This window comes from Homo sapiens, chromosome 11 (genome assembly GCF_000001405.40).
Source record: "Homo sapiens chromosome 11, GRCh38.p14 Primary Assembly".
NCBI classification, from domain to species: domain Eukaryota; kingdom Metazoa; phylum Chordata; class Mammalia; order Primates; family Hominidae; genus Homo; species Homo sapiens.
This window is the reverse complement of record NC_000011.10, coordinates 47,821,549-47,841,879: the sequence shown is the minus strand read 5'-3', so window position 1 is coordinate 47,841,879 and position 20,331 is coordinate 47,821,549. Positions and strand designations below refer to the sequence as shown.

General features: G+C 41.9%; 1 protein-coding gene and 1 pseudogene across 3 annotated transcripts in view; one reads left to right on the top strand and one right to left on the bottom strand.

The window, feature by feature from the left end:
• The window catches only part of NUP160 (nucleoporin 160), a 70,427-nt gene that overhangs the window by 6,665 nt on the left and 43,431 nt on the right, over positions 1 to 20,331 (top strand). For 2 of the 3 annotated variants that reach the window (NR_134636.3, NM_015231.3), the window contains exons 3-9: positions 1,292 to 1,502; positions 1,815 to 2,037; positions 4,257 to 4,335; positions 4,879 to 4,993; positions 6,071 to 6,229; positions 19,716 to 19,793; positions 20,059 to 20,156. Coding sequence is in view for 2 of the 3 variants with exons in the window: in NM_015231.3 (NP_056046.2) it covers positions 1,292 to 1,502; positions 1,815 to 2,037; positions 4,257 to 4,335; positions 4,879 to 4,993; positions 6,071 to 6,229; positions 19,716 to 19,793; positions 20,059 to 20,156 (963 nt within the window). In the remaining variant the exon portion in view is untranslated. Of the gene's footprint in view, positions 1 to 1,291; positions 2,380 to 4,256; positions 4,336 to 4,878; positions 4,994 to 6,070; positions 6,230 to 19,715; positions 19,794 to 20,058; positions 20,157 to 20,331 lie in introns of those variants that run through there. The other variant, NM_001318399.1, reaches the window with a different exon arrangement.
• On the bottom strand, positions 193 to 636 carry YPEL5P2 (YPEL5 pseudogene 2; annotated as a pseudogene).

Sequence of the window (20,331 nt, the reverse complement as noted above, 5' to 3'; positions counted from 1 at the left end):
CCGTCTCTACTAAAAAATACAAAAATTAGCCAGGTGTGGTGGTGCACACCTGTAGTCCCAGCTGCTGAGGAGGTTGAGGTGGGAGGATTGCCTGAGCCCAGGAGTTCGAGGCTGTAGTGAGCTATGATTGCACCACTGCACCCCAGCCTGACAGAGTGAGACCCTGTCTCAAAAAAAAAACAAACAAACAAACAAAAATTATCAGATGGTACATGCTCCTTAGAGCCCTCAATCTCTCGAACTAGAGCACGTTCCAGGATCACATGGCCTTCCTTGTAACACTGGCTGTCTTCGGTGGCAAACTCGTAGATCCATCCCAGTTTGCTGCTGCAGTTTTTCAGCTCACATGTTGGACCATGTGGTGGCCAGTGAGCATGACCCAATCTAGAGCTTCATTGTACTGCAGGTTCACTACCTTGTTAAAAAGAAATGCTCTGCCAGTGGCGCCTGTGAACCAAGTGGAGATGAATTCTGAGCGGTTGGTCAGGATTGTATCACAGTTTGCATAAGAAAATGGACAGGTACCACGAATATGATCAAGGAAAATTCTGCCCATTTTTATGGCTGAAGTTCTAAAAACCCTGTGCAGCAGTGAGATCTGTGGCTGCCAGTGGCTCCTTGCTCCTCAGCTGGGATTAATAAACAAGCTCCTTTTGGGGAGGGTGGGGGAAAAAAGAAAAAAATAAATAAACAAGCTCCTTTTGAGGAGTAATAATGAAAGTTAGAATAGCTTAGTATAGAAACTAACCCTGATATGTTCAATTTGCGAAGGTATTTTTATATTAAAATATTTATTTTTGTAATATTTTTGCACATACATGTAAGCGCATGTATAAAATTGCTATTCTGTGTGTGTGTGTGTATATGTGTGCGCATGCATGCTATTGCAGGTTAAGAAGTAATAGAAACAGGAAATAACCGCAATTATTAAGGTCAGTTTTGTTTGATGCTGTAGTATATATGGAGGCCACATTCCACTACAAGCAATGGCCGGGGTATGGTGTTAATTTTTATTATAGTAGAGTTAATTGCATAAAATATTGTCCTAAATAAATGGCCTATCAAGTTTGGAAATGTCTCTATGTAACAGAATCACAGTGAAATTTGGATTTTGTTATGCTGTTTTTTATAAATGTACATAATGTGATTTGGCATGCAAAAGTGGTCCAAATCTGTTTATCCAAAATTTTCAAATTTGGTGAGTTCACTTGGACACTGTTCTCATATATTTCAGTAGAACAGTCAGTGAGAAAAGCATAAACTTTTCAAACAAATGTCTCTTTTTCAACAGGAAGACCTCTGGAGATACATTGGAGCTGATGGAGGAGTCACTGGACATAAATCTGTTGAATAATGCCATTCGCCTAAAATTCCAAAATTGCAGTGTTTTACCTGGAGGGGTTTATGTCTCTGAGACTCAGAATCGTGTGATAATCTTGATGTTAACCAATCAAACAGTGCACAGGTTACTTTTACCACACCCCTCCCGGATGTATAGGAGTGTAAGTTGGCTAAGTGCAATATCTTTTATTTCCCAAATTACTCTGGGTGTCACAAATGTAGTGCTGGAGCGATGTCTTTTGGAATTGAAGGAAATTTGGATTCTCGTTATCCCTCACCAAGCATACTTTGATAGCTACCGCTTAAAATGATCAGGCATACATTTTAAGTTGAGAATTAGTTTTCATTAAGAAGAATAGCTTTCTTAAACTTGACAGTTTTTTACTTTAAAAACTTTTTTAGCAATAGAGAGGAACTGAGCAAAATTCTGGTTATTTTGATTTAATAGATTTTTCTTTTTAATTACTCAACAGGAGTTGGTAGTTGACAGTCAGATGCAGTCAATATTCACTGACATTGGAAAAGTTGATTTCACAGATCCTTGCAACTATCAGTTAATTCCAGCAGTACCTGGAATATCTCCTAATTCCACCGCCTCTACAGCCTGGCTCAGCAGTGATGGGGAGGCCCTGTTTGCCTTACCATGTGCTTCTGGGGGAATCTTTGTTCTTAAGCTACCTCCTTATGACATACCTGGTAAGAATGGGAACTGAGCATGGATTTAACTTTAAACAAGGAATGTTAACATTGAAACAGTTCAACCTCGTCATCCAATGCAGGGATTGCATCTCTACTGCCCCGGAACTGGTCATTCATTATTGCTTGCCTAATGAGTCCCTAATGCTTTACTTTTATACAGTGGATAAGGAACTATAAAGCATATTGGAGCACGGAAAAACAAATAGACAAGTATAAGACAGCCTATTCTAAATCTTGTAGTAGAGATGGGTTGCCTAATTGTCTGCCCTGAGATGGAGGCATTATAACATTATAATTAAATTAATTGAAACAAAGACATTAAATACCCTGCACCAAGTTGCCACTGTGTCTTGCCTGGATTATTGTATTAGCTTTCTATATATCTCCCCAGATCTGTCTTAACCCTCTTCAGACACTTCTCAGGTGGACTGATATATTTAAAACCCAAGGGCCAGGCGCTGTGGCTCACGTCTATAATCCCAGCACTGTGGGAGGCCAAGGCAGGTGGGTCACCTGAGGTTGGGAGTTGGAGATCAACCTGACCAACATGGAGAAACCCCGTCTCTACTAAAAATACAAAATTAGCTGGGCATGGTGGCCCATGCCTGTAATCCCAGCTACTCGGGAGGCTGAGGCAAGAGAATCGCTTGAACCCAAGAGGTGGAGGTTGCGATAAGCCAAGATCGTGCCATTGCACTCCAGCCTGGGCAACAAGAGCGAAACTCCATCTCAAAAAGAAAAACCCAAGTTGGGTCATGTCACTGCACTGTGTAAAGCCGTCCTTTATGTAGTGCAGTGACATGACACAACTTTTCTTTTATTCTTTTTTTTTTTTTGAGATGGGATTTCTCTCTGTCGCCCAGGCTGGAGTACAGTGGCATGATCTCAGCTCACTGCAATCTCCACCTCCTGGGTTCAAGCGATTCTCCTGCATCAGTCTCCTGAGCAGCTGGGATTACAGGCATTTGCCACCATACCCAGCTAATTTTTGTATTTTTAGTAGAGACAGGGTTTCACCATGTTAGCCAGGCTGGTCTCGAACTCCTGACCTTGTGATCTGCCCACCTCAGCCTCCCAAAGTGTTGGGATTACAGGCTTGAGCCACCGCACCTGGCCTTTCTTTCTTTCTTTTGAGACAGAGTCTCACTGTCACCCAGGCTGGAATGCAGTGGTGCCATCTTGGCTCACTGCAACCTCCGCCCCCCCCAGGTTCAAGTGATTCTCATGTCTCAGCCTCCCAAGTAGCTGGAATTACAGGTGTCCACCACCACACCTGGCTAATTTTTGAATTTTTAGTAGAGATGGGGTTTTGCCACATTGACTAGGCTGGTCTCGAACTCCTGACCTCAAGTGATCCGCCTGCCTCAGCTTCCCAAAGTGCTGGGATTACAGGTGTGAGCCACGGCACCTGGCCAACATGACCCAAGGTGGGATTCAAATATATCATGTTATGCTGAATAAACCCAGAGTCCTTACACTGGCCTAGAGTGACCCACTGCTGTCTCCAACTTCATCTGTTCACTCTTCCCCTCTTCACCAGCCACATGCCTTCTTGTAATTCCTTGAATATGCCAGGAACACCCCTACTTCAACAAGGCATTTGTTTGGTATTGTCAGCTACTAGCTTGGCTCATTCCCTCAGCTCCTTTAGGTCTTTACTCAATGTCACCTTGTTGAGGCCTTCCCTGACCATCCTTTTCAAAATTGCAGTGCCCCTGCCTGCCCTCCCTATATCCTGGCACTCTCTGTACTCCTTTTGTGTCTTATTTTTCTGACTTACTACCATTCTACTTAATTTAACTGTCTCTGCTTCTCCCCTTCCCCCAAAGGAATATAAGTTCCAGGAGGACAGGAGTTTTAAAATTTGTTTTGTTTACTGCTATGTCACTACCATCTAGAACTGTGCCTGGCACATGAAAGGTACCTAGTGATTGTTTTAGAAAGAATGAAGTGATTCTGCCGGGTGGCAATATGGGTTACTGTCTGTAAAAGGCAAAAATTTCCATGAGAAGTATAAAAATGCTATTTTTATGGATCTAATAATGATTCAAAATATTTTAGGTGTGATATATGCAGGAAAGTTACATCCTAAACCTTTGTTAGTACAGAAATACGGAAGTCTGTTGCCTATTATAAAGACCTTGTTCATGGTTACATCATTCTTGCCTTTGGGTTTCTCTAAGTGTGTTCAAGAGGTGCCTTGGATATCATTGCAGGTATGGTGTCAGTCGTGGAACTGAAACAGAGTTCAGTAATGCAACGATTGCTTACAGGCTGGATGCCAACAGCTATCAGGTGAGTGGTGTCTGGCAGGTAAATCAAAGGGCCCAAGAATTTAATCTTTTTGCACTGGTCGGCAGTTATTGTTTCCAGTCTTATTCCAAGGCAAACATTATACTGGAAAGGAGAACAGTCAGAATAACATTAAATTCCATCTGAGGAAAGCCACACTCCCGAGTCCCTTTCATCTGCAATTGGATGCCTTGTCAGCATAAATCGGCCTGTTTATATTCTCACAATATCCAGTTCAGTGCTCTGCCCCGACTTACCCAAATCCAGTTTCGTGTAAAATTATTAGAAATAGAAAGTTTTTGATGGTTACAGGAAAACAATATAAAAGGAAACAGTCTTCCATTGTTATGTAGAGCCTTTTAAATTTTATTATAGTAATTGGCGATAAACCAAATAGAAATGTAGTTGTCTTATACCAGCATATAAGCTCTTGGTCCTTCTGCTAAGAGTGTACATTTATAATTTTATTATATTTCTTGAATTGCAAATTCTAATGATCAGATTCTTTGCAGCAGTAAAACTCTAAAACTGGGTCTTATGTTTTAGGGGTGACCAGTCGCCTTCAGATCGTCCCCTCAGTCTTGCTGTTCATTGTGTGGAGCATGATGCCTTCATCTTTGCTTTGTGTCAGGATCATAAACTACGAATGTGGTCTTACAAGGTAAGTGCTACATTTATAGTTGCTGTAAGTTAAAACAGGATTGTGAATCATGAGAATTGAAGTAAATTTTGCTGTTTCTCTAAAGATTATTAGATCAATTGGTTTGGAACTTATTGGTCACTGCCAGATTCAGACAGTTTCATTTAGCTTTATTTTGCATATATTTTCCTCCTAACTTACTGTCTTTTTATTTGGAAAAATTATCAACCTAACAGGAACACTGAAAGAGTAGTACAAAGTACACCTTTCACTTTTTTTTAAATTTTTTAATTTTTTGAAACAGTCTCACTTTGTCACCCAGGCTGGAGTACAGTGGCATGAATATAGCTCACTGCAGCCTCTGCCTCCCGGGCTCAAGCAATTCCCCACCTCAGCTGCTCAAATAGCTGGGACTACAGGGGCACGCTACCATACCTGGCTAATTTTAGTATTTTTTGTAGACAGGGTTTTGCCATGTTACCCAGACTGGACCTTTCATTTAAGAGCAACAAATATGTTTTTAAAATGTAAGTTGGTAAAATGGTTTTCAAGATTCATCTAAAAAATACAGCTTATATTTTATATAAGTCTGATCTTATGTTTCAGACTGAAGAGATGTTTTTCATGTTAGCCCCTCCCTCCCTCTTTTTATTTTCCCCCGAAACAGAGTCTCGCTCTGTCACTCAGGCTGGAATGCAATGGCGCAGTCTCACCTCACTGCAACCTCCGCCTCCCAGGTTCAAGTGATTCTCCTGCCTCAGCTTCCCAAGTAGCTGGGATAACAGGCATGCACCACTGCACCTGGCTAATTTTTGTATTTTTTAGTAGAGATGGGGTTTCACTATGTTGGCCAGGCTGGTCTCGAACTCCTGACCTCAGGTTATCCACCCACCTCGGCCTCCCAGAGTGCTGGGATTACAGACGTGAGCCACTGCGCCCGGCCTGTGTTAGCCCTTTTGAAACAAAAACCTGTAAGGTCTTTTAGCAGATAAACTAGATAGAGCAGTAGATACAATGAAAGGTCCATCCTTTCAAAAGGTATGTTCTTCTAGCCTGAATATCCCTTGAATATCACCTATTAACTATTTTCTTGGACAGGAGCAAATGTGCCTAATGGTAGCTGACATGCTGGAGTATGTCCCTGTGAAGAAAGACCTTCGGCTTACTGCTGGAACTGGACACAAATTACGGCTTGCTTATTCCCCCACCATGGGACTCTACCTGGGGATATACATGCATGCACCAAAACGAGGACAGGTATGAAACAAATAAGACACATACCAAGTTATTCTGTGTGTACTGATGTGGAGAAATGGCTGTAGACTCAGTGAGTCTGTTCAAGCTCTTTTCACCGACCTAGATGTGTTTCTGAGGTGATGGTTGGGTTTCGTGCTACTATGTGAATTAGAAGATCTTGAAGGAGGGGTCAGTATGAAAGGAAGTAGAGAGTTTAAAGTAACATGAAAGGAAAAGTTAACAGAAACTAAACAAGAAGAGCAAATTAGGAGTTCTAGGTGAAAAAACAGAATTCCTGAAAGGGATGTAGGTGTTATGTGGTGTTAAGTTAATTTTTCTAAATAAATTTGCTTAGCATCCAGACAGTAGCTGCTGTCTGTAGATGAGATACGTAGGATGTGATGTAATAGTGTAATCATTTAATAAACAGCCATTTGTTGAGCATTGTGTGTTTGGTGCTGTGCCAGTCCCTTTATGCACATTAATAATAGCAGACACTGGGATTGTGCTTACTCTGGGCTCATATGCTATATGCGTTTTATCCATTTAATCCTAATAACAGCCCAGTGAGGTAGGGTCTGTCTCCCTTACTATGCAGGAGCTCTGATTCCCCCACTGAGTCCCCACGCTAGGCCACTGCCCTTCCTGGATGCCCTTCTCACTTCTGTTGGGATCTCATAGCCCACTCCACATTGCTCCTCCAATGTGGGTGCCCTCCTTACCCTGTTTGGGCCCTGAGACCACCAGACTGCCCCCATGCAATGGACCTCCTCCTCACCCAACCTGAGTTTCCATCCTGCACCAAGCTTTCTGTCCATGTGGAAGCCATCTCAAACTGTTCGTGCTCCTCCCCCCGAAGTCAGGCAGTCCCAAATGTGGACAGTCTTCTTATGTCCCTAGGCTCTTGCCTCATCACACCTGGCCATATCACCCCTGCATGCACGCCCTTCTCACTCACTAGTGTTCTCACTCCTGTGCTGGGACATGCCTGCACCGATGTTCTCTTCAACCTGTTCAGACTGACTCCTTATGCCGAACCCCAACCCCCCAGGTCCCCGACCCTTACCTTCTGGCCAGCAAGGATATCTACCTTGCTCTAGGTTTTTAGATTGGATTGCTCAGGAACAGAATGGAAGGGAAGAGGAAGAGCTCATTCTTGCAGTTTTTTCCTAATATGGCCCAAAAGTATCATGCTATCAAGACATTTATCTTGATTGCACATAATTGTTCTATTCTCTCTTCTGGAGGACAACCCTTGAACTATTTGAACATACCTATCCATCTCCTCTAAGTATACTCTTCTCTGCATGTAGGTTGTGGGTGGTAGGAGAATTGACCCTGCTCTAACTTCCTTAGTTCCTTCCATTGTTATTCATGTAACATCCTGTTGATCAGTCTCCTCGACATGTTACAATTAGTTTGTCACACTAAAATAGTGGTTCTCAAACTTTTGGTCTCGGGACCCTATTATACTCTTACCGAGAACTGCAAAGAGCTTTTGTTTATATGGGTTATACCTATAATTTATTAGAAATTAAAACTGGCTGGATGTGGATTGACACATTTTATATTATGCAGTATCTAAATTACTGTTTTGGGGGGTAATCCCCAAGACCACCTCACCTCCATGTCCAGTAATACTCTGAAAGGACTCATAGGGCTCAGTATGTAGTTGTGCTGACAGCTAAAATGTATTACAGTGAAAAGATACAAAGCAAAGTGAAAAAAGGGAAAAGGCACATGGAGTGAAGTCTGAAGCCAGACACAATCGTCTAAGAGTCCCCTCCCAGTAGAGTCTCACAGGACATGCTTAATTCTTCCAGCACTGAATTGTGATGATGTGTGTAAAATGTTGTTTCCCAGGAAAGCTTGCTAGAGGCACAGTGCCCACCATATTGGCCAGGCTGGTCTCGAACTCCTGACCTTGTGATCTGCCCACTTCGGCCTCCCAGAGTACAAGCAAGACTTTCTAAGGAGAGCAGCCTCAGGCCTGCTATGTTAACCCTTTCTGCACAACTATTATCATTGATGATATTATCATTGGTGATCACTCAGAAGAGCCTTGAGAAGCTCTGGAGTTCATGTTAGTGGATACGAAGTTTTCTGAAATCATAGTTTTCACTTTAAAACTTGAAATGTATCATTGGCAACAAATACTGTCATTTGTTTTCCCTGAAATGACAGGTTCACTTTATTCTTTTTTTTTTTTCTTTTGTGATGGAGTTTGGCACTCTTGTCACCCAGGCTGGAGTGCAGTAGCGTGACCTCAACTGACTGCAACCTCTGCCTCCTGGGTTCAAGCAATTCTCCTTCATCAGCCTCCACAGTGGCTGGGATTACAGGTACCTGCCACCATACCCGGCTAATTTTTTGTATTTTTAATAGAGATGGGGTTTCACCATGTGGGCCAGTCTGGTCTCGAACTCCTGACCTCAGGTGATCCACCCGCCTCAGCCTCCCAAAGTGCTGGGATTACAGGTGTGAGCCACCACGCCCAGCCTATTCATTTATTTAAACAGCTTTCTTGAGATGTAATTCACTCACCCATTTAAAGTATACCATTCAATGAGTTTTAGTATATCCACAGATACGAGCAACCATTACCATAGTCAACTTTAGAACATTTCCATCACCTCAAAAAGAAACCCCATACCTTTTAGCTATCATTCTTCCCTTCCCCCATTTCTTCCCAGCTCTACACAACTGCTAATCTATTTTCTGTCTCTATAAAGTTACTTATTCTGGTCATATTATGTCAGTGGAATCATATAAGTGGTTTTCTGTGACTGGCTTCTTTCACTTAGCTTAATATTTTCAAGGTTCATCCATGTAGCATGTGTTGTCAGCACTTCATTCTGTAAGTGCCCAATACATACAGCTGATTTATCAAGACAGGAATTGGAATAGAGAGAGTTTAATACACATAGAGCCAGCTAAACAGGAGACCGGAGTTTTACTGTTAACTCAAATCAGATCAGCCCCCCTGAAAATTTAGAGGCTAGGGTTTTTCAAAGATAGTTTGCCAGGCAGGGCGAGGCTATGAGTGCTGCTGACTGGTTGGAGATGCAATTGTAGGAGTGTGGAAAACCATCCTATGCGCTGAGTCTGCTTCTGGGTCGGGGCCACAGAAGAGTTGCTCATCTGGCTGGGGCCAGAAATGTAAAAAACTGAAAACACATTTTAAAAGGCCAGTGTAAGGTGCTACAATGGTGATGTTATTTACAGAAGTAATTGGGGAAGTTGCAAATCTTATGACCTCCGGAATAATGACTGGTAATCATTTAACTATGAATTCGGGCCCCTCTCATCTTCCTAACCTGGTGGCCTTTCATTAGTTTTACCAAGGTGGTTTGGTTTTGGGGAAGGGCTATTATTATTTAAACTATAAATTAAATTTCTCCCAAGGTGAGCCTTGCCCATGCTCAGGAATGACCAGAGGCAGTTTGGAGATTAAAGACAAGATGGAATTTGTGGGCCAGCACAGTGGCTCACGCCTGTAATCCCAACACTTTGGGAGGCTGAGGCAGGCGGATCATGAGGTCAGGAGATCGAGACCCTCCTGGCCAATATGGTGAAACTCCTTCTCTACTAAAAATACAAAAATTAGCTGGGCGTAGTGGTGCATGCCTGTAGTCCCAGCTGCTCAGGAGGCTGAGGCAGGAGAATGGTTTGAACCTGGGAGGCGGAGGTTGCAGTGAGCAGAGATTGCACCACTGCACTCCAGCCTGGTGACAGACCGAGATTCTGTCTCAAAAAAAAAAAAAAAAAAAAAAAAAAGGAATTTATTAGATCAGATCTGTCTCTTTTTTTTTTTTTTTTTTTTTTTTTTGAGAGAGAGTCTCGCTTTGTCACTAAGGCTGGAATACAGTGGCGCGATCTCAGCTCACTGCAACCTCTGCCTCCCAGGTTCAAGCAGTTCCCCTGCCTCAGCTTCCCAAGTTGCTGGGATTACAGGCGCATGCCACCATGCCTGGCTAAGTTTTTGTATTTTTTTAGTAGAGGTGGGGTTTTGCCATATTGGCCAGGCTGGTCTCTCCTGATCTCAGGTAATCCGCCTGCCTCGGCCTCCCAAAGTGCTGGGATTACAGGCGTGAGCCACTGCACCTGGCCCAGACCTCTTTCATTGTCATAATTTTCTCACTGTTATGATTTTTGCGAAGGTGGTTTCAATTCCTTTTATAGCTGAATAATTTTCAGTTGTATACCACCATTTATTTATTCATTTGTGTTGGAATTTTTTCATTTGTGTTGGACATTGTTGTTTCTACCCTTTATCTATTATGAATACTGCTGCTATATACTTGTCAACACTTGTTGTTATCTGACTTTTTAATTCTAGATATCCTAGTGGGTATGAAGTATTATCTCATTATGGTTTTTGTTTTAATTTCCTGATAACTAATGATGCCAAGCATCTTTTTAGTGCTTATTGGTTATTTGTGTCTCTTCCTTGGAGAAATGTTTATTCACATCATTTGCTTTTTTGTTGTTGTTGTTGTTGTTGTTGTTGAGATGGAATCTTGCTCTGTTGCCCAGGCTGGAGTGCAGTGGCGTGATCTCGGCTCACTGCAACCTCCGCCTCCCAGGTTCAAGCGATTCTCCCGCCTCAGTCCCCCAAGTAGCTGGGATTACAGGCTCACGCCATCATGCCTGGCTAATTTTTGTGTTTTTGTAGAGACGGGGTTTCACCATGTTGGCCAGGCTGGTCTCGAACTCCTGACCTCAGGTGATCCACCAGCCTCAGCTTCCCAAAGTGCTGGGATTACAGGCATGAGCCACCACGCTCGGCTGCTCTTTTTTTTTTTAACTTTTGTTTTAGGTTTGAGGGTACATGTGAAGCTTTATTACATAGGTGAACTCATGTCATGGGGCTTTGTTGTACAGATTTTCTCATCACCCAGGAATTAAGCCCAGCACCTAATAGCTATCTTTTCTGCTCCACTCCCTCCTCCCAACCTCCACCCTCAAGTAGACCCTAATGTTTGTTGTTTCCTTCTTCGTGTTCATAAGTTCCCATCATTTAGCTCCCATTTATAAGTGAGAACATGTGGTATTTGGTTTTCTGTTCCTGCATTATTTTGCTGAGGATAATGACCTCCACTTCCATCCATGTTTCCACAAAAGACATGATCTCGTTCTTTTTTGTGGCTGCATATATTCCATGATATATATGTACCATGTTTTATTCAGTCTGTCATTGAGGGGCATTTAGGTTGATTCTATGTCTTTGCTATTGTGAACAGTGCTGTAATGAACATTCATGTGCATTTGTCTTTATGGTAGAATGATTTGTATTCCTTTGGGTTATATACCCAGTAATGGGATTGCTGAGTGGAATGGTAGTTCTGTTTTTAGTTCTTAGAGGAATCACCACACTGCTTTCCACAATGGTTGAAGTAATTTACAGTCCCACCAACATTGTATAAATGTTCCCTTTTCTCTGCAACCTCACCAGCATCTGTTATTTTTTGACTTTTTAATAGCCATTCTGACTGCTGTGCGATGGTATCTCATTGTGGTTTTGATTTGCATTTCTCTAATGATCAGTGATAGTGAACTTTTATTCATATGCTTGTTAGCTGCATACTTCTTTTTTGAAAAGTGTCTGTTCATGTCCTTTGCCCACTTTTTAATGAGGTTGTTTGCCTTTCATTTGTAAATTTAAGTTCCTTATAGAGGTTGGAAATCAGACCCTCGTCAGATGCATAGTTTGCAAATATTTTCTCCCATTCTGTAAGTTGTCTGTTTACTCTGCTGAAAGTTTCTTTTACTGTGCAGAAGCTTTTAAGTTTAATTAGATCCCACTTGTCAATTTTTGCTTTTGTTGAGATTGCTTTTAGTGTCTTCGTCTTGAAATCTTTGCCCGTTCGTATGTTCAGGATGGTATTGCCTATGGTTGTCTTCCAGGGTTTTTATAGTTTTGCGTGTTATGTTTAAGTCTTTAATCCATCTTGAGTTGATTTTTGTATATCGTGTAAGGAAGGGATCCAGCTTCAGTCTTCTCATGTGCCCATTTTTTAATTAGTTTGTCTTTTTTGTTATTGAATTGTAAGAATTCTGTAAACAGGCCAGTGCGGTGGCTCATGCCTGTAATCCTAGCACTTTGGGAGGCCAAGGTGGGTAGATCACTTGAGGCCAGGTATTTGAGACCAGCCTGGCCAATATGGTGAAACCCCATCTCTAATAAAAATACAAAAAATTAGCCGGGCATGGTGGCACGTGCCTGTAATCCCAGTTACTTGTGAGGCTGAGGCACGAGAATTGCTTGAAACCTGGTGGTGGAGGTTGCAGTGAGCCGGGATCGCACCATCCAGCCTGGGCAACAGAGCAAGATTCTGTCTCAAAAACAAAGAAACAAACAAAATGGTATTATAAACTTAATCTTATGGAGTCACCATTGTATATGTGGTCCATATACCAAAGCATCATTATATAGTATGTAACTGTATTATTCTGGATCTAAATCTCTAATCAGATTTATGACTTGCAAGTAGTATTTTCTACCACGTGAGCTGTCTTTTCACTTTCTTGATGGTGTCCCATGAAGCACATGTTTTTAATTTTGATAAAGTCCAGATTATCTATTTTTTCTTTTGTTGCTTTTGTTCATAGTGTCATACCTTAAGAATCCTTTGCCAAACCTAAGGTCATAACGATTTACTCTTATGTTTTCTTCTCAGAGTTTTATACTTTTAGCTTTTATATTTAGGACTTTGATTCATTTTTTTAGTTTTGTGGGGTTTTTTTTTAATAGTGTGAGGTAAGCATTCAACTTCATTCTTTTGCTTGTAGATATTCAGTTTTCTCAGCACCATTTGTTGAAAAGATAGTTCTTAACACATTGAATGGTCTTGGCACCCTTCTCAAAATCATTTGACCTCAGACACATGGTTTTATTTCTAGGCTCTCAATTCTGTTCCATTGATCTATATATCTGACCTTGTGCTGGTACCACACTGTCTTGATTACTCTTGCTTTGTAGGAAATTTTGACACCAGGAAGTGTGAGCCCTCTTACTTTGTTCTTCTTTTTCAAGATTGTTTTGGCTATTCTGGGTCCCATTCAATTCCATATGAGTTTTAGAATCAGCTTGTCAGTTTCTACAAAGAAGTTAGCTGAGATTCTGATAAAAATTGTGTTGCCTCTATAGATGATATTATAAAATATTGCCATCTTAGCAATATTAAGTCTTCTGATCCATGAACATGGGATGCTTTAGTTTTCAGAGTGTAAGTTTTATACTTTTGTTCAATTTCTTCTTAAATATTTGATTCTTTTTGATGCTATTGTAAATGAAATTTTCTTGATGCTATTATAAACGAAATTATTTTCTTAATTTCATTTTCAGAGTGCTCATTGGAAGTTGATAGAAATACAGTTGATTTTTGTATATTCATAATTGTATCTTGCAACTTTGCTGAACTCATTTATTAGTTCTGATAGATTTTGTAATGGATTCATTAGGATTTTCTTTATACAAGATAATGTCACTTGCAAATAAACTTTTGATTACAATGGCTCACACCTGTAATCCCAGCACTTTGGGAGGCCAAGGTGGGCAGATTGCTTGAGCTCAGGAGTTCCAGACCAGCCTGGGCAACATGGCGAAACCCTGTCTCTACAAAATAGCAAAAATTAGCTGAGCATGGTGGCTCATTCCTATAGTACCAGCTATTTGAGGGGCTGAGATGGCAGGATCACTTGAGCCTGGATGGTTGAGGCTGCAGTATTCCTGATTGCCTCACTGTACTTCAACCTGAGCAACAGAGCGGAACCCTGTCTCATAAAAAAGTTAGTTTTATTACTTCCTTTCTAAACTAGATGCATTTTCTTTTTTTCTTTTCCTTCTTTCTTGTAGGGTTTTTAAAAATTTTTTTGGAGGGAGGTGGGTACTAATTGTCCTGGCTAGATCCTCTAGTACAATGTTGAATAGAAGTGGCAAGAACCTGCATCTTTTTTGTCGTCTTTTTTTTTTTCACTCTGTCACTCAGGCTGGAGCGCAGTGAATGCACTCTCAGCTCATTGCAACCTCCTGGTTCAAGCGATTCTCCCACCTCAGCCTTCTGAGTAGAGTTGCCGGGACCACGGGCATGTGCCACCATGCCCAGCTAATTTTTATATTGTTGTTTTTTGGTAGAGAAGAGGTTTCACCATGTTGGCCATGCTATGCATCTTTGCCTCATTCCTAATTTGTATTGCTAAGGGAGAAGTTACCAGTGTTTCACCATTAAGTATAATGCTAGCTGTGAATTTGTCTTTTTTTTTCATTGTGATGCAACAGTAAGCTGTGAATTTTTTTTTTTTTTTTGAGACAGTGTCTCACTCCGTCACCCAAGTTGGAGTGCAGTGGCGCAATCTCAGCTCACTGCAACCTCCACCTCTCAGGTTCAAGCGATCCTCCCACCTCAGCCTCCCAGGTAGCTGGGACCACAGGTGTGTGCGACCACACATGGCTAATTTTTTTGTATTTTTGGTAGAGACGGGGTTTCGCCATGTTGCCTGGTCTCAAACTCCTGAGTTCAAGCAGTCCACCCACCTCGGCTTCCCAATGTGCTGGGATTACAAGTGTGAACCACAGCACCCAGCCTGAATTTTTCGTAAGTGCCCTTTATATTGTGTTGAGGAGGTTCCCCTTTATTCCTAGTTTCTTGAGTGGTTTTCTCTTGAAAGGGTGTTCAGTTTGGTCCCACTGCCTTGATTTATGTTAAGACACCAGTAATTTTACCCACCACTGATTTTGCATCATTGATGCAAATATCAACAAAGTGAAAAAGGCAAATAATGCAGTGTTATTATGCAAAGGGTTTGGGGCTGGGTGCAGTGGCTCACACCTGTAATCCCAACACTTTGGGAGGCCAAGGCGGGCAGATCACCTGAGGTCAGGAGTTCGAGACCAGCCTGGCCAACATGGTGAAACCCCGACTGTACTAAAAATACAAAAATTAGCCAAGCGTGGTGGCGGGCATCTTTAATCCCAGCTACTCGGGAGACTGAGGCAGGAGAATTGCTTGAACCCAGGAGGCAGATGTTGCAGTGAGCGGAGATTGTGCCATAGCACTCCAGCCTAAGTGACAGAGAGAGACTCTGTCTCAAAAAAAAAAGGGGGGGGGGATTTTTACCTCACTGACCCCCTGAAATGGTCTCAGGGACCTCTAGGAATCTGTGGACCACATTTTGAGAACCACTGCTCTAAAGGTCAGATCGGGAATGAATGTAGTAGTTCAGGAGTGTGTCAAATTGAGCAGAGCTATTACTTCCTTTGTTTTGAGCATTATGATTCTTCATTGAAGCCTAAAATCAGAATAACTTTTTTGACAGCTATGTAACACTGTTAGCCTATCCAGATTATAGTGAACTTATAGTATTTTATTTCTTTTTTCTTCACAAAAACTGATCTTCGGCTGGGCCTGATGGTGCATATGTATAGTTCCGGCTACTCGGGGCTGATGCAGGAGGATCATTTGAGTTCAGGAATTTAAGACCAGCTTGGACTGTTGGGTTTTTGTTTGTTTGTTTGTTTGTTTGTTTGTTTAATGCTGTTTGAGACCTGCTAAATTGATTTTATGTCCCACTAATGGATTGAGATTTGTAGGTTTTAAAACACAGGTTCAGGCTACAATGGATATAAGCACTACATATTTTTTTTCATATTTCATACACTATGTTTCTCAAAAAGGAATTTTGCTGCTTTTTTTTCTTTAATACTTTTTTGTGAACAGCTGCATATAAGGGTCATCATCACTCTTATCAATTTACAGTAAATTTTCTTTATAAAAACAGTTAATTTAGGCTGGACTTGGTGGCTCACGCCTGTAATCCCAGCACTTTAGAAGGCCGAGGTGGGCAGATCACCTGAGGTCAGGAGTTCGAGACCAGCCTGGCCAACATGGTAAAACGCTGTCTCTACTAAAAATACAAAAATTAGGCTGTATGGCTCATGCCTGTAATCCCAACATTTTGGGAGGCCGAGGTGGGTGGATCACTTGAGGTCAGGAGTTTGAGACCACCCTGACCAACATGGTGAAACCCTGTCTCTACTAAAATACGAAAACTAGCTGGGCATGGTAGTGCGTGCCTGTAAATCCCAACTACTCGCGAGGCTGAGGCAGGAGAATTGCTTGAACCCAGGAGGCAGAGGTTGCAGTGAGCCGAGATCGTACCACTGCACTCCAGCCTGGGTGACAGAGCGATACTCCGTCTCAAAAAAAAAAAAAAAAGGCAAAAATTAGCTGGGCATGGTGGTGGGGACCTATAATCCCAGCTACTTGGGAGGCTGAGGCAAAATTGCTTGAACCTGGGAGGCAGAGGTTGCAGTGAGCCGAGATCACACCACTGCACTTCAACCTAGGCAATAGAGCGAGACTCGTCTCCAAAAAAAAAAAGTTATTTAAAAAGTTCATCAAGCCAGGCACTGTAACTCACTCCTGCAGTCCCAGCAATTTGGGAGGCCAAGGCAGAAGGATCACTTGATACCAGGAGTTTGTGACTAGCTCGGGCAACATGGTGAGACTCCGTCCCTACAAAAAATAAAAGTCCGGCTGGGCGCGGTTGGCTCATGCCTGTAATCCCAGCACTTTGGGAGGCCGAGGCGGGCAGATCACGAGGTCAGAAGATCGAGACTATCCTGTCTAACACAGGGAAACCCTGTCTCTACTAAAAATACAAAAACTTAGCTGGGCGTGGTGGCAGGCGCCTGTAGTCCCAGCTACTCAGGAGGCTGAGGCAGGAGAATGGCGTGAACCCAGGAGGTGGAGCTCGCAGTGAGCCGAGATCACACCACTGCACTCCAGCCTGGGCGACAGTGCGAGACTCCATCTCAAAAAATAAATTAAATTAAATTAACGTGAAAAAAAAAAACAAAAGAAAAAGCTGGGTCGGGTAGAACATGCCTGCATTACTAGCTATTAGGGAGGCTGAGGTAGGAAGATAGCTTGAGCCCAAGAGTTGGAGGTTAACGTTGAGCTACGATCATGTCACTGCACTGCAGCTTGGGTAACAGAGCAAGACCTGTCTCTAAAAATAAAAATAAATAAGTTTGTTTTTTATTTTATTTTATTTTTTTTTGAGATAGAGTCGCTCTGTTGCCCAGGCTGGAGTATAGTGGGGCGATCTTGACTCACTGCAAGCTCCGCCTCCCGGGTTCACACCATTCTCCTACCTCAGCCTCTCGAATAGCTGGGACTACAGGTACGTGCCACTGCGCCCGGCTAAATTTTTTTGTATTTTTTTTAGTAGAGATGGCGTTTCACCGTGTTAGTCAGGATGGTCTCGATCTCCTGACCTCATGATCCACCTGTCTCGGCCTCCCAAAGTGCTGAGATTACAGGTGTGAGCCACCGCACCCAGCCAACAAATAATTTTTTTTACCACAGTGAGATAATCACCTCACATCTATTAGGATATCTACAATTGAATGAATGAATAAATAAATAAATGTCTTGGCAAGGATATGGAGAAATTAGAACTCTTTTGTTGTTGTTGAGAAATCAGAACTCTTGTACATTGCTAGTGGGAATGTAAAATGCTGCAGCCATTATGAAAAACAATATAGTGGTTCCTCAAAAAATTAAACATAGAATTACCATATATTCCAGAAATTCCACTTCTATGTGTGTGTGTATATATATATATATATATATATATATATATATATATATATATATGCAAAAGAATTGAAAGCAGGGTCTCAAAGGTATATTTGTACAACCATATACATAGTAGCATTACTCACAATAGGCAATAAGATAAAGCAGCCCAAGTGTCCATCCACAACAAATAGGTAAACAACCTGTTGCATGTACGTACAGTTTAATATTTCAGTTTTTAAAAGGAAGGAAGGCCAGGAGCAGTGGCTCACACCTGTAATCCCAGCACTTTAGGAGGCTGAGGCGGATGGATCACAAGGTCAGGAGATCAAGACCATCCTGGATAACACGGTGAAACCCCGACTCTACTAAAAATACAAAAAAATTAGCCAGGCGTGGTGACAGGCGCCTGTAGTCCCAGCTACTCAGTAGGCTGAGGCAGGAGAATGGCAGGAACCTGGGAGGCAGAGCTTGCAGTGAGCCGAGATCGCACCATTGCACTCCAGCCTGGGCGATAGAGCGAGGCTCCTTATCAAAAAAAAAGAAAAAAGGAAGGAAATGCTGACACATGCTACTACATGGGCGAGCCTTGAAGACATTATGCTAAACGACATAAACCAGTCACAAAAACACAAATAATATATGACCCTTCCACTTACATGGAGTACCTAGAGTAGTCAAATTTATAGAGACAAAGTAAAGTGGTGTTACAAGGGGCTAGGAATTGAAGGGAAATGGGAAATTGTTTATTGAGTATAGAGTTTTAGTTATGCAAGGTGAAGATGAAAGGAGTTCTATAGATTGGTTGTACAACAGTGTGAATATACTTAACACTGCTAAAAATAGTTAAAATGGTAAATTTGACGTTATGTGTATTTTACTACATTAAAATAAAGTGGTTCTACCTGGCCTGTGTGGGTGAAAAAGAAAAAATTTTTGAAGACTATACTTTCAGGGATCATTTCTGCAGTAAATACCATTTGACCCAGCCATCCCATTGCTGGGTATATACCCAAAGGATTATAAATCATGCTGCTATAAAGACACATGCACACATATATTTATTGTGGCACTATTCACAATCGCAAAGACTTGGAACCAACCCAAGTGTCCATCAATGATAGACTGGATTAAGAAAATGTGGCACATATACACCATGGAATACTATGCAGCCATAAAAAAGGATGAGTTCATGTCCTTTGTAGGGACACGGATGAAGCTGGAAACCATCATTCTGAGAAAACTATCACAAGGACAGAAAACCAAACACCACGTGTTCTCACTCATAGGTGGGAATTGAACAATGAGAACACTTGGCCACAGGGTGGGGAACGTCACACACTGGCACCTGTCGTGGGGTAGGGGGAGTGGGGAGGGATAACATTAGGAGATATACGTAATGTAAATGAATTAATGGGTGCAGCACACCAACATGGCACATGTATACATATGTAACAAACCTGCACGTTGTGCACATGTAACCTAGAATTTAAAGTATTAAAAAAAAAAAAAGAAAAGAAAAAAAATTTTTGGCCGGGTGCAGTGGCTCACGCCTGTAATCCCAGTTCTTTGGGAGGCCGAGGCAGGCGCATCATGAAGTCAGGAGTTTGAGACTAGCCTGGCCAACACGGTGAAACCCCATCTCTACTAAAAATACAAAAATTAGCCGGGCATGGTGGCGGGCACCTGTAATCCCAGCTACTCGGGAGGCTGAGGCAGGAGAATAGCTTGAACTTAGGAGGTGGAGGTTGCAGTGAGCTGAGATCGTGCCATTGCACTCCAGCCTGGGCAACAGAGCAAGACTCTTCTTTCAAAAAAAAAAAAATTTTTTTTTAAAGGTTTCTGAATGGTAATAGCCCTTGCTTCGAAAAGTAACATGTTGATTATTTCAGGTAATAAATGATCATCTTGTGTTTTAACAGTTCTGCATTTTCCAGTTGGTGAGCACTGAGAGTAATCGCTATAGTCTCGATCATATTTCTTCACTGTTCACTTCTCAGGTAGGTTGATTCATCCTTTGCATATCACATAAGTACAAGAAAAAGAAGTATTGACTAACTCTGTTATGGTATAATGGGATTGTAGTCTTAAAATGGAATTATTTCATGATATATGGAACAAAATTTCATTTAGACTTTACCAAATTCATGTGGTACCATGTTTTGTTTTCATACATTTACCTCTCCTACTGATGAAAAAGTAAGTCACCGTGAACTACTACTTTCTTTCTTATTTTATCCCTTTTTTTCCCACATTTCCTCCTAGGAGACACTGATTGACTTTGCCTTAACTTCCACGGATATCTGGGCCCTGTGGCATGATGCTGAGAACCAAACAGTAGTGAAATACATCAACTTTGAACAGTATGGGTCACTTAATTCTGTCATCCTACCTCACCCCAAGCAATTTCATGCTAAGAAGACGAGAGGCCGGGCGCCGTGTCTCATGCCTGTAATCCTAACACTTTGAGAGGCCGAGGCAGGCAAATCACTTAAGCTCAGGAGTTCGAGACCAGGCTGGGCAACAGAAACCCCGTCT